At 38.9% G+C, this 14,677-nt stretch overlaps 1 protein-coding gene across 2 annotated transcripts in view; it reads left to right on the forward strand.

Annotated features, from left to right (window-relative positions):
• The window catches only part of LIPJ (lipase family member J), a 40,278-nt gene extending 37,497 nt beyond the window's left edge, over positions 1–2,781 (forward strand). The window contains exon 12 of one of the 2 annotated variants that reach the window (XM_047424642.1): positions 2,626–2,781. In XM_047424642.1, coding sequence (XP_047280598.1) covers positions 2,626–2,762 — 137 coding nt within the window. In that variant the 3' untranslated portion in view covers positions 2,763–2,781. The remainder of the gene's footprint in view (positions 1–2,625) is intronic. The other variant, XM_047424643.1, reaches the window with a different exon arrangement.
• The last annotated feature ends 11,896 nt before the right edge of the window (positions 2,782–14,677 follow it).

Raw genomic sequence — 14,677 nt, forward strand, 5'->3', positions numbered from 1 at the left:
GAAGTGAGATCAAAGATAACAGAAAACTCAACTATTTTTGCAACTTTTCTGTGGCTCAAAATTAAAATTTTAAATTCTAAAAATGGGAAAGATTTAACCAAATACTTTACTAAAGAAGATATATAGATGGGAAAGGACTACACAAAAGGATGCTCAACATCATTAATCATGTGGGGAAGGACCTCACCAGTACTACCACACACCTGTTAGAATGGCTGAAAAAAAATAACCTCACAATACCAAGTGTTAGTAAGAATGCATAGCAGCTGGAGCTCTCTTACATTCCTGGTTTGGATGACCAAATAGTACAAGTTCTTTGGATAACTGTTGAGTAGTTTCTTACAAAGTTAAAAACACACTTATCCTATATCTTAGTCGGCTCAGGCTGCAATAAAAGATACTATAAACTGAGTGGCTTAAACAGTAGAATTTATTTCTCACAGTTCTAGAGGCTGGGAAGTCCAAGATTCAGGCACTGGCAGATCCAGGGTCTGGTGTGGGCCCACTTCATGGTTTCCTCTTGGGCATTTTCTTACTGTGTCCTCGCATGGTGGAGAGCAGAAAGAGACCATTTTTCTCATGTCTCTTCTTAATGGGCAGTAATCCATTCCTGAAGATTCTACTCTCATGACCTAATTACCTTACAAACGCCCCACGTCCAAATAGTGTCACATGGAGTATTCAGGCTTCAACTTATGAATTTTTGGGGAATGCAAACGTTCAATTCATAGCGCCATATGATGCAACAATCATATACACACAAAAATAATGAAAATTTAAATTTACACAAACTCCTGTAGGCAAATGTTTATAGCAGCTTTCTTTATAATTGCCAAAACTAGGGGGTGAGAAGAACCTAATACATTTCAACTGGTGAGTGATAAACAGAGTGTGGTACATCCATACAATGAAATACTAGTTACCAATAAAAGGGAATGGAGTCTTGATAGATGCAATAACATGGGCAAATCTCAAATGCATTATGCTGAGTGAAAAGAGCTAGACTCAAGGGGCTACATACTGCATGATTCCATTTATATAACATTCTGGAAAAGGCAAAATGATAGAACAGAAAAAAGTTCAATTGTTACCAGAGGCTAGAGATAAGAAGAGATCTGGTTGAAAATGGGCAAAAGAGAATTTCTTGTGGCAAAGTAACTCTTACATTTTTTGACTTTGTTAATAATTTACACAATTGTACATTTGTAAAAACTTATAGAACTGTACCCTTAGAAAATTAGTAAATTTTACTATATGAATTTTATTCATCAATAAGCCTGACCTAAAAAAAAAGTATTAGGAGGAGAACAGGGTGTTGCTGTTTTAGATAGGGTGGTAAGAGACGGCCTCACTAACACAATGATATTTGACCTAAGGAAAAGTCAGTGTTCCGCTATTTTCTTTTGAATATGGTTTCTGGAGAGAGCAGAGGTAAACATGTATGCTCCACTATATTTCAGCCTTGATTCTTATTTCTTGGTCAGAAAGAATTATCACTGTTTAAAGGTAACCATTATCTTATGAGTAATTAAGAAGAATCCGAGTAAGAGAGAGTCGGGGATGCATCTGGATATAGTACTACCTATTGGTGCCCTGCTCAGACCCAGTTTAACAGGCTGGTGCAGCCAGCTTTCAGCAGCTTCGAGTGTTGACTGCTAAGAAATCACAGCTGTATGCTCCTCCTGAGCTCACCCTTGGCTGATAGAAAGCACGTCACCTCTGTAATGTCTGACAGTTTATTATCTTCTCACAGGGCAGCTCACAATAGTTGACTGACTGATTTTGGACTACAAAAACTGGACTTTTCTCCAGGTGTAACACTCATACTTCAGAGCTCCCTGTGGGATTCCACTAAGACTTAGCTTCTTCCCCTTCTTTATCCTTCTCCCTTGTTTCCTTACAGATTTTACCGTGAGCACTCCCTCAGCAAATCAGTTAGTAAGAACCCCTGTCTCAAGCTCTGTTTTCTAAAGAACCCCACCTAAAGTACTGACGGAAAATATTTTAAGCAGAGGAAACAATTAAGGCAGTTCTGAAACTTTAGCCTGCATCTCAGTTATCTGGAGAGCTTGATAAACAGAGATTTCCAGGCTCCATCCCCAAAATAACTAATTCAGTAGATCTCAGGTGGGCTCGAGAATTTGCATTTCTAATAAGTTCCCAGATGATTCTGACAGTACTGACCCAGGGACCAGACTTTGAAAAGGCTTAAGTGGGACAAAGCACTAAGGGGAGGATGCTAAGTGGCCAGTGTGGCTCTAGAAGCCTGACTAAGGAGGGAGGAGTCAGAGGTGAAATCAGAGAGGGAACTAGAGGCAACACAGTGCAGGATAATTCAGTTTATTAGAAAGCACTATGGACTTTACTCTGTGTGAGATGGAGAGCTTAGAGCAAAGAGGGACATGAAGTGTTTACATTTTTAACATGGTCACCCTGATGGCTGCATTGACAGAGAAAAATGGTGGAAACAAGGAGATCTGTTAAGAGGCCATTTTGTACTAATCCAGATGAGAGCTGATGGTGGCTTAGATCATGATTCAAATTTTTAAATTATGTAAATATGTAGCTTTGATAAAAATTAAAAGAATATTGAGATAATATCAACAATTCTCTTTAACTTTTCAGATATGGTCCATCTACATTGGAAACCATTCTATACCTCTAAGTGTCCAATGTGGCTCTTCAGCAAATCCTGGCCAATTATAAAGCAATCTGTATGTTTTCTGACTAGTCTGATTTGGTTGTTGGAGGTACTGAAATAATTGTAAGTAAAATACAGTTTTTACATTCTTGAGAAAACTGTATTTAGATATTTGTCATACATCAAGTTACTGAATTTCCCATCCCCAAATTACATCGACCACACTGCTACATGGGCATGTGATAATAAGTAGAAGCAGAGGTGAAATGTGCTGGCATTTGGCTTTCTCACCAGCTGAGTGTCCTGTCAGCTCATGGGTAACTGAGCACATTTCCCACTTTCAAATTATGCATTTGCACATATTCAAGTGTATTGCAGAGTCACTATAAATTGGTGAAACTATAATAAAATCTAAATTTCAAAATTTGATTATAATAGAATATGAATCAAGTGGTTCAGTCCCAGAGAGGTATTCCAGTTAAAAGAAGACACAGTGCAGATTTCAAATTAATAACATCCTTTACTTGTATTTTCCCAAACACCATGAGGGAAAAATAAGTCTCCCACAAAATGCTTTTTACCTGTTTTGTGCCGTCCTCTCCTTGATCTAATGGCTATATAGCACCGTTGTTCCTTTCAAAAACATTTACAAACTACTACTCCTGGGATTATTTTTTGTTCATTTTTTCCTTGTCATTTTCTCTAAATCTTCATTATGATACAAATCTTTTGTCCCAGGATAGTAAGGCAGGGTCCCTTATCCTGAAAATAGATTGAATTGTCTTTATGATTCTGTAGAAAGAGCTGGAGGGATGGTAACATTCTTGAATTAATTATCTTATAAAATTAGTTACATGTGTTGTGAAAACATGTGATCACTTAGTAAGTAATTTCACTAAATCCCAACTTGAAACAAATGTATTTATACATGTCCACTATCTTATCTATGCCATCAAGAGACCTACTTAAGAGCCACATGTTTAAAAAATAAATTCCATTTATGCCTAATAACACCTTGACTTTCAGCGTGTGTATAAGTCATAAAACTACCCTTCTGCCATGCTCCCATCATATACCTCGCCAAGAGATAAAACACAGGCCTGCCTTGGCCAGAGAATTTCTAGGATGTCTGGTATGGAATAGCAAGGGGAACATAGTAGAATGTGGAAGTCAGGTAGTAGCAGGAGGTCAGGAGGCACGGGGCCTTATATTGTTAGAATTTAAATCTTTATATGAAGTGAAATGAGGAGTCATTGCAGTGATTTAGCAGAGAGGGACACGGCCTGACTAATAATGCCTTAAAAAGAATGAGATATGTTGCATTAGAATGGACTGGAGGAGAAACAAGTGAGAGCAGAGAGACCAATTAAGAGAATGTTGTGATGGTAATCTACAGGAGACATGGTATGGGAGGCCAAGGTCATAGCAGTGAAGGTATAAAATATAGATGGTTGGCAGATATATTATTAATGCAACGCCCATATGATTTCCTGACTGAAAATGGGATGTGAGAGCAGAAGGAAAGTACAACTCCAGAGTTTTTTTCCTGAGGGACAGAAAGAAAGATTTCATAGAGGAAATGACAATTTCATGCCTAGGGAGAAGCAGGAGCTCATTAAAGAGGTGAGAAAGAGCCCAATGCTCTGAGGTGTGATTAGTTCAGGAGAACCTGATAATGAGGACTTCTTAAATGGAGGTGCTAATATCCCATAAATCATACTGACAGGAGGGAGGAAGTATCTGAAGTCACCGGATAAACAGAGATCTTCCTTATACATCCATCTTACTTAAATGGTAAATTATTAAAATTTTTGTTTTATTGTGTACATTTATGAACTACAATACAAATCATACAAGTGTTAAAGTTAAATCAAGAGACTCCAAACAGCTTCTCAAATGAGATGTCCCATCTGAGTGTGTCAGGGTTAAGAAAGCATTCTCCTATGAATAATGCTTGAAGCAATCTGAAGGACAAGAATTACCTTTTAAGCCCTTAGGTTAATATTAAAACTGTCAGGTTTTCAGCCAAGCAGTTTGGAGCTAAACTCAAGAACCATTTAGGGGTTTGAAAATAGATTTCCTGCTAGCCTCTTACATACTTCTTTCTCAGTTGATGGTCATATGCTAGTTTCTTGTGAAATAGAAAATAGAAATGTCAAGTTAAGGAGAGTAAGAACATGAAAATGTCAAGTTAAGGTGATTAATTGTAGTGTGTGCTCCTCTTCACTGATATTTAGAGATTCATGAATCAGATAACTCTTTGGGGGCTTTGTAACTTCAGATTAGAGGCCTTGGCTACTTTTTCTCCATTGTCCATTTATCCCAGAAACATCAATTCTCTCCTCCATAGTGGCTTTTCCCCTTAAAATAGATGAGGATTCCTTACTCGCATTAGAGGTAGATCTCAACACAGGTATAAGTGACATCTCTGGACATTTCATAAGGTTAGTATATTTTGTTAGTTTTTATGTGAATAATATTTCCATAAATACTAAAAAAGTGAAATAAATAATTATGTGAACATTTATGTCCCAAATTTCCTGACTTTGCTATATGTCATTCTGTTTTAGTGACAAAAAAATTCTAAAAATCACGTAGAATTTACATGTTAGTGAAATGAATATGTAGAGTAAAATGAAAAATGGATAATTTTCCAGCAATCTCCAGTTAGTCTGAAAGAGGCAGCTGAATACAGTAAGAGGGGCAATGGCCTGAGTCAGGAAAATTAGTTTTAGTCCTGTGCAAGTAACTAGGTTTCTTCTGTTCTCTCATGAATTATCTATTCCTAGGACTGTAGAAACCATGATCTTTATTTAGTACTATATTTTGTTACCCAAGTTCTCTATATTTTAGTCTCAGTCTGATACTCTAATTAGAGGCTAGAGTGTATGCCAAAACAAGTATTTTATGAGTCATTGATAGAGTTATATAGGGGCTCATGGATATAGTCATTGAAGTAGCATTTGTTGTGTGTCTTGTATTTCTAGAATAATTCAAACGCTTTTGAGGAAGACATGAATTTTCTTGAAACAATGCCTTTTTTGAGTGATATAATTTAAGAAAACATAGTAAACAATGGATATATTTTACAATCAGTGGCTTTTTCTAAATATTTATATGATATAATCAATTACATTTGTTAACATGACTGTCTCTTATAAGGATATGTACTCCTTAGAACAGAAAGTATCTCATCTAAGATGCTCTAAAATTGAGCATGCATTAGCTATCTGTCCTAATGCTCTCCCTCCCTGTGCGCCCTACCCCCTGACAGGCCCAGGTTTGTGTTGTTCCCCTCCCTGTGTCCATGTGTTCCTATAGTTCAACCCCCACTTAAGAGTGAGAACATGTGGTGCTTGTTTTTCTGTTCCTGTGTTAGCTTGCTGAGGATGATGGCTTCCAGCTTCATCCATGTCCCTGAAATGATATGATCTCATTGTTTTTTATGACTGCATAGTATTCCATGGTGTATATGTAGTACATTTTCTTTATCCAGTCTATCATTGATGGGCATTTGGGTTGGTTCCATGTCTTTGCTATTGTAAATAGTGCTGCAATAAACATACATGTGCATGTGTCTTTATAGTAGAATGATTTATATTCCTTTGGGTATATACCCAGTAATGCGATTGTTGGATCAAATGGTATTTCTGGTTCTAGATCCTTGAGGAATCACCACACTGTCTTCCACAATGGTTGAACTAATTTACATTCCCACCAACAGTGTAAAAGCATTCCTATTTCTCCACAGCCTCTCCAGCATCTATTGTTTCTTGACTTTAATAATCACCATTCTGACTGGCATGAGATGGTATCTCATTGTGGTTTTGATTTGCATTTCTCTAATAATCAGTAATGGTGAACTTTTTTCATAACGTTTGTTGGCCACATAAATGTCTTCTTTTGAGAAGTGTTTGTTCATATCCTTTGTCCACTTTTTGATGGGGTTGTTTGCTTGTTTGTTTGTAAATTTGTTCAAGTTCCTTCTAGGTTCTTGATATTAGACCTTTACCAGATTAGTAGATTGCAAAATTTTTCTCCCATTCTGTAGGTTGCATGTTCACTCTGATGATAGTTGCTTTTGCTCTGCAGAAGCTCTTCAGTTTAATTAGATCCCATTTGTCAATTATGGCTTTTGTTGCAATGCTTTTGGAATTTTCATCATGAGATCTTTGCACATGCCTATGTCCTGAATGGTATTGCCTAGGTTTTCTTCTAGAGTTTTTATGGTTTTGGGTTTTACATTTAAGTCTTTAAGCCACCTTGAGTTAATTTTTGTGTAAGGTGTAAGGAAGGGGTCCAGTTTCAATTTTCTCCGTATGGCTGGTCAGTTTTCCCAGCACCATTTATTGAATAGGAGATCCTTTCCCCATTGCTTGTTTTTGTCAGGTTTGTCGAAGATCAGATGGTTGTAGATGTGTATTGTTATTTCTGAAGTCTCTGTTCTGTTCCATTGGTCTATATGTCTGTTTTGGTAACAGTACCATGCTGTTTTTGTTACTGTAGTCTTGTTGTATAGTTTGTACACGTTACTGTAGCCTTGTTGTATAGTTTGAAGTCAGGTAGCGTGATGCCTCCACTTTGTTCTTTTTGCTTAGGATTTTCTTGGCTATATGGGGTCTTCTTTGATTCCATATGAAATTTAAAGTAGTTTTTTCTACTTCTGTGAAGAATGTCAATGGTAGTTTGATGGGAATAGCACTGCATCTATAAATTACCTTGGGAAATATGGCCATTTTCATGATATTGATTCTTCTGATCCATGAGGATAGAATGTTTTTTCCATTTGTTGGTACCCTCTTTTATTTCCTTGAGCAGTGGTTTGTAGTTCTCCTTGAAGAGGTCCTTCACATTACTTGTTAGCTGTATTCCTAGGTGTTTTATTCTCTTTGTAGCAATTGTGAATGGGAGTTCATTCACGATTTGGCTCTGGTATAAAGGAATGCTTGTGATTTTTGCACATTTATTTTGTATCCTGAGACTTTGATGAAGTTGCTTATCAGCCTAAGGAGTTTTTGGGCTGAGATGATGGGGTTTTCTAAATACAGAATTATGTTGTCTGCCAAAAGAGACAATTAGACTTCCTCTGTCCCTATTTGAATACCCTTCATTTCTTTTGCTTGCCTGATTGCCCTGGCCAGAACTTCCAATACTATGTTGAATAGGAGTAGTGTGAGAGGGTATCCTTGTCTTCTGCCAGTTTTCAAAGGGAATGTTTCCAGCTTTTGCCCATTCAATATGATATTGGCAGTGGGTTTGTCATAAATAGCTCTTATCATTTTGAGATATGGTCCATCAATACCTAGTATATTGAAAGTTTTTTACCATGAAGCGATGTTGAATTTTATCAAAGGCCTTTTCACACACACACACACACACACACACACACACACACACATATATATATATATATATATATATTATACTTTATGTTCTAGGGTGCACAACGTGCAGGTTAGTTACATATGTATACATGTGCCATGTTGGTGTGCTGCACCCATTAACTCGTCATTTACATTAGGTATATCTCCTAATGCTATCCCTCCCCACTTCCCCCACCCCACAACAGGCCCCGGTGTGTGATGTTACCCTTCCTGTGTCCAAGTGTTCTCATTGTTCAATTCCCACCTATGATTGAGAACATGTGGTGTTTGGTTTTTTGTGCTTGTAATAGTTTGCTGAGAATGATGGTTTCCAACTTCATCCATGTCCCTACAAAGGACATGAACTCGTCTTTTTTATGGCTGCATAGTATTCCACGGTGTATATGTGCCACATTTTCTTAATCCAGTCTATCACTGATGGACATTTGGGTTGCTTCCAAGTCTTTGCGATTGTGAATAGTGCCGCAATAAACATACATGTGCATGTGTCTTTATAGCACCATGACTTATAATCCTTTGGGCATATACCCCGTAATAGGATGGCGGAGTCAAATGGTATTTCTAGTTCTAGATCCCCGAGGAATCACCACACTGTCTTCCACAATGGTTGAACTAGTTTATAGTCCCACCAACAGTGTAAAAGTGTTCCTATTTCTCCACATCCTCTCCAGCACCTGTTGTTTCCTGACTTTTTAATAATCACCATTCTAACTGGTGTGAGATGGTATCTCATTGTGGTTTTGATTTGCATTTCTCTGATGGCCAGTGATGGTGAGCATTTTTTCATGTGTCTGTTGGCTGCATAAATGTCTTCTTTTGAGAAATGTCTGTTCATGTCCTTCGCCCACTTGTTGATGGGGTTGTTTGTTTTTTTCTTGTAAATTTGTTTGAGTTCTTCGTAGATTCTGGATATTAGCCCTTTGTCAGATGAGTAGATTGCAAAAATTTTCTCCCATTCTGTAGGTTGCCTGTTCACTCTGATGGTAGTTTCTTTTGCTGTGCAGAAGCTCTTTAGTTTAATTAGATCCCATTTGTCAATTTTGGCTTTTGTTACCATTGCTTTTGGTGTTTTAGGCATGAAGTCCTTGCCCATGCCTATGTCCTGAATGGTATTGCCTAGGTTTTCTTCTAGGGTTTTTATGGTTTTAGGTCTAACATGTAAGTCTTTAATCCATCTTGAATTAATTTTTGTATAAGGTGTAAGGAAGGGATCCAGTTTCAGCTTTCTACATATGGCTAGCCAGTTTTCCCAGCACCATTTGTTAAATAGGGAATCCTTTCCCCATTTCTTGTTTTTGTCACGTTTGTCAAAGATCAGATGGTTGTAGATGTGTGGCATTATTTCTGAGGGGTTTGTTCTGTTCCATTAGTCTGTATCTCTGTTTTGGTACCAGTACCATGCTGTTTTGGTTACTGTAGCCTTGTAGTATAGTTTGTAGTATAGTATAGCCTTGTAGTATAGCCTTGTAGTATAGTATAGCCTTGTAACTATAGTATAGCCTTGTAACTATAGTACAGTATAGTTGCTGTAGCCTTGTAGTACAGCCTTGTAGTATAGCCTTTGTAGTATAGCCAGGTAGTGTAATGCCTCCAGCTTTGTTCTTTTGGCTTAGGATTGACTTAGCAATGAGGGCTCTTTTTTGGTTCCATATGAACTTTAAAGTAGTTTTTTCCAATTCCTGTGAAGAAAGTCATTGGTAGCTTGATGGGGATGGCATTGAATCTATAAATTACCTTGGGCAGTATGGCCATTTTCATGATATTGATTCTTCCTATCCATGAGCATGGAATGTTCTTCCATTTGTTTGTGTCCTCTTTTATTTCATTGAGCAGTGGTTTGTAGTTCTCCTTGAAGAGGTCCTTCACATCCCTTGTAAGTTGGATTCCTGGGTATTTTATTCTCTTTGTAGCAATTGTGAATGGGAGTTCACTCATGATTTGGCTCTCTGTCTGTTATTAGTGTATAAGAATGCTTGTGATTTTTGCACATTGATTTTATATCCTGAGGTTTTGGTGAAGATGCTTATTAGCTTAAGGAGATTTTGGGCTGAGACGATGGGGTTTTCTAGATATACAATCATGTCATCTGCAAACAGGGACAATTTGACTTCCTCTTTTCCTAATTGAATACCCTTTATTTCTTTCTCCTGCCTGATTGCCCTGGCCAGAACTTACAACACTATGTTGAATAGGAGTGGTGAGTGTTGAATAGGAGTGGCATCCCTGTCTTGTGCCAGTTTTCAAAGGGAATGCTTCCAGTTTTTGCCCATTCAGTATGATATTGGCTGTGGGTTTGTCATAAATAGCTCTTATTATTTTGAGATACATCCCATCAATACCTAATTTATTGAGAGTTTTCAGCATGAAGGGCTGCTGAATTTTGTCAAAGGCCTTTTCTGCATCTATTGAGATAATCATGTGGCTTTTGTCTTTGGATCTGTTTATATGCTGGATTACGTTTATTGATTTGCATATGTTGAACCAGCCTTGCATCCCAGGGATGAAGCCCACTTGATCATGGTGGATAAGCTTTTTAATGTGCTGCTGGATTTGGTTTGCCAGTATTTTGTTGAGGATTTTTGCATCAATGTTCATCAGGGATATTGGTCTAAAATTCTCTTTTTTTGTTCTATCTCTGCCAGGTTTTGCTATCAGGATGATGCTGGCCTCATAAAATGAGTTAGGGAGGATTCCCTCTTTTTCTATTGATTGGAATAGTTTCAGAAGGAATGGTACCAGCTCCTCCTTGTACCCCTGGTAGAATTCGGCTGTGAATCCGTCTCGTCCTGGACTTTTTTTGGTTGGTAAGCTATTAATTATTGCCTCAATTTTAGAGCCTGTTATTCGTCTATTCAGAGATTCAACTTCTTCCTGGTTTAGTCTTGGGAGGGTGTATGTGTCCAGGAATTTTTCCGTTTCTTCTAGATTTTCTAGTTTATTTGCGTAGAGGTGTTTATTATAGTATTCTCTGATGGTAGTTTGTATTTCTGTGGCATCAGTGGTGATATCCCCTTTATCATTTTTTATTATCCCCTTTATCATTTATATCTATTTGATTCTTCTCTCTTTTCTTCTTTACTAGTCTTGCTAGCAGTCTATCAATTTTGTTGATCTTTTCAAAAAACGAGCTCCTGGATTCATTGATTTTTTAAGGGTTTTTTGTGTCTCTGTCTCCTTCAGTTCTGCTCTGATCTTAGTTATTTCTTGCCTTCTGCTAGCTTTTGAATGTGTTTGCTCTTGCTTCTCTAGTTCTTTTAATTTTGATGTTAGGGTGTCAATTTTAGATCTTTCCTGCTTTCTCTTGTGGGCATTTAGTGCTACAAATTTCCCTCTACACACTGCTTTAAATGTGTCCCAGAGATTCTGGTATGTTGTGTCTTTGTTCTCGTTGGTTTCAAAGACTATCTTTAATTCTGCCTTCATTTCGTTATGTAGCCAGTAGTCATTCAGGAACAGGTTGTTCAGTTTCCATGTAGTTGAGTGGTTCTGAGTGAGTTTCTTAATCCTGAGTTCTAGTTTGATTGCACTGTGGTCTGAGAAACAGTGTGTTATAATTTCTGCTCTTTTGCATTTGCTGAGGAGGGCTTTACTTCCAACTATGTGGTCAATTTTGGAATAAGTGTCATGTGGTGCTGAGAATAATGTATATTCTATTGATTTGGGGTGGAGAGTTCTGTAGAAGTCTATTAGGTCTGCTTGGTGCAGAGCTGAGTTCAATTCCTGGATATCCTTGTTAACTTTCTGTCTCGTTGATCTGTCTAATGTTGACAGTGGGGTGTTAAAGTCTCCCATTATTATTGTGTGGGAGTCTAAGTCTCTTTGTAGGTCTCTAAGGACTTGCTTTATGCATCTGGGTGCTCCTGTATTGGGTGCATATATATTTAGGATAGTTAGCTCTTCTTGTTGAATTGATCCCTTTACCATTATGTAATGGCCTTCTTTGTCTCTTTTGATCTTTGTTGGTTTAAAGTCTGTTTTATCAGAGACTAGGATTGCAACCCCTGCCTTTTTTTGTTTTCCATTTCCTTGGTAGATCTTCCTCCATCCCTTTATTTTGAGCCTATGTGTGTCTCTGCACGTGAGATGGGTTTCCTGAATACAGCACACTGATGGGTCTTGACTCTTTATCCAATTTGCCAGTCTGTGTCTTTTAATTGGAGCATTTAGCCTATTTACATTCAAGGTTAATATTGTTATGTGTGAATTTGATCCTGTCATTATGATGTTAGCTGGTTATTTTGCTCGTTAGTTGATGTGGTTTCTTCCTAGCATCAATGGTCTTTACAATTTGGCATGTCTTTGCAGTGGCTGGTACCAGTTGTTCTTTTCCATGTTTAGTGCTTCCTTCAGGAGCTCTTATAGGGCAGGCTTGGTGGTGACAAAATCTCTCAGCATTTGCTTGTCTGTAAAGGATTTTATTTCTCCTTCACTTATGAAGCTTAGTTTGGCTGGATATGAAATTCTGGGTTGAAAATTCTTTTCTTTAAGAATGTTGAACATTGGCCCCCACCCTCTTCTGGCTTGTAGAGTTTCTGCCGAGAGATCTGCTGTTAGTCTGATGGGCTTCCCTTTGTGGGTAACCCGACCTTTCTCTCTGGCTGCCCTTAACAATTTTTCCTTCATTTCAACTTTGGTGAATCTGACAATTATGTGTCTTGGAGTTGCTCTCATCGAGGAGTATTTTTGTGGCGTTCTCTGTATTTCCTGAATTTGAATGGTGGCCTACCTTGCTAGATTGGGGAAGTTCTCCTGGATAATATCCTGCAGTGTTTTCCAACTTGGTTACATTCTCCCCGTCACTTCAGGTACACCAATCAGACATAGATTTGGTCTTTTCACATAGTCCCATATTTCTTGGAGGCTTTGTTTCTTTTTATTCTTTTTTTCTCTAAACTTCTCTTCTCAGTTCATTTCATTCATTTGATCTTCAATCACTGATACCCTTTCTTCCATTTGATCGAATCGGCTACTGAAGATTCTGCATTTGTCATGTAGTTCTCGTGCCATGGTTTTCAGCTCCATCAGGTCATTTAGGGACTTCTCTACATTGGTTATTCTAGTTAGCCCTTCATCTAATCTTTTTTCAAGGTTTTTAACTTCTTTGCAATGGGTTTGAACTTCCTCCTTTAGCTCAGAGAAGTTTGGTCATCTGAAGACTTCTTCTCTCAACTCATTGAAATCATTCTCCATCCAGCTTTGTTCTGTTGCTGGTGAGGAGCTGCATTCCTTTGGAGGAGGAAAGGCACTCTGATTTTTAGAATTTTCAGCTTTTCTGCTCTGTTTTTTCCCCATCTTTGTGGTTTTATCTACCTTTGGTCTTTGATGATGGTGACGTACAGATGGGGTTTTGGTGTGGATGTCCTTTCTGTTTGTTAGTTTTCCTTCTAACAGTCAGGACTCTCAGCTGCAGGTCTGTTGGAGTTTGCTGGAGGTCCACTCCAGACGCTGTTTGCCTGGGTATCAGCAGCAGAGGCTGCAGAACAGCGAATAATGCTGAACAGCAAATGTTGCTGCCTGATCTTTCCTCTGGAAGTTTCATTTCAGAGGGGTACTCGGCCATGTGAGGTGTCAGTCTGCCCCTACTGGGAGGTGCCTCCCAGTTAGGCTACTCGGTGATCAGGGACCCACTTGAGGAGGCACTCTGTCCGTTCTCAGATCTCAAACTCCGTGCTGGGAGACCCACTACTCTCTTCAAAGCTGTCAAACAGGGACATTTAAGTCTGCAGAGGTTTCTGCTGCCTTTTGTTCGGCTATGCCCTGCCCCCAGAGATGCAGTCTACAGAGGCAGGCAGGCCTCCTTGAGCTGCGGTGGGCTGCACACAGTTCGAGCTTCCTGGCTGCTTTGTTTACCTACTCAAGCCTCAGCAATGGCAGGTGCCCCTCCCCCAGCCTCGCTGCTGCCTTGCAGTTCAATCTCAGACTGCTGTGCTAGCAATGAGTGAGGCTCCGTGGGCATGGGACCCTCCAAGCTAGGTGCAGGATATAATCTTCTGGTGTGCCATTTGCTAACACCATTGGAAAAGTGCAGTATTAGGGTGGGAGTGACCCGATTTTCCAGGTGCTGTCTGTCAGAGCTTTGCTTGGCTAGGAAAGGGAATTCCCTGACCCCTTGCGCTTCCTGGGTGAGGTGATGCCTTGCCCTGCTTCGGCTCACACTCGGTGTGCTGTACCCACTGTCCTGCACTCACTGTCCGACAAGCCCCAGTGAGATGAACCCGGTACCTCAGTTGGAAATGCAGAAATCACCTGTCTTCTGCATCGCTCATGCTGGGAGCTGTAGACTGGAGCTGTTCCTATTTGGCCATCTTGGAATGGCCCTCAAAGGCCTTTTCTACATCTGTTGAGATAATCATGTGGTTTTTGTCTTTGGTTCTGTTTATGTGATGGATTATGTTTATTGATTTGCGTATGCTGAACTAGACTTGCATAACAGGGGTGAAGCCAACTTGATCATGGTAGATAAGTTTTTTGGTTTGCTGCTGGATTTGGTTTCCCAGTATTTTATTGAGGATTTTTGCATTGATGTTAATCAGGGATATTGGCCTGAAATTTTCTTTTTTGTTGTTGTGTCTCTGCCAGGTTTTGGTATCAGGATGATGCTGGCTTCATAAAATGAGGTAGAGAGGAGTCCCTCCTTTTCAATTGTTTGAAA

Source organism: Homo sapiens, chromosome 10, assembly GCF_000001405.40.
Source record: "Homo sapiens chromosome 10, GRCh38.p14 Primary Assembly".
NCBI lineage: Eukaryota > Metazoa > Chordata > Mammalia > Primates > Hominidae > Homo > Homo sapiens.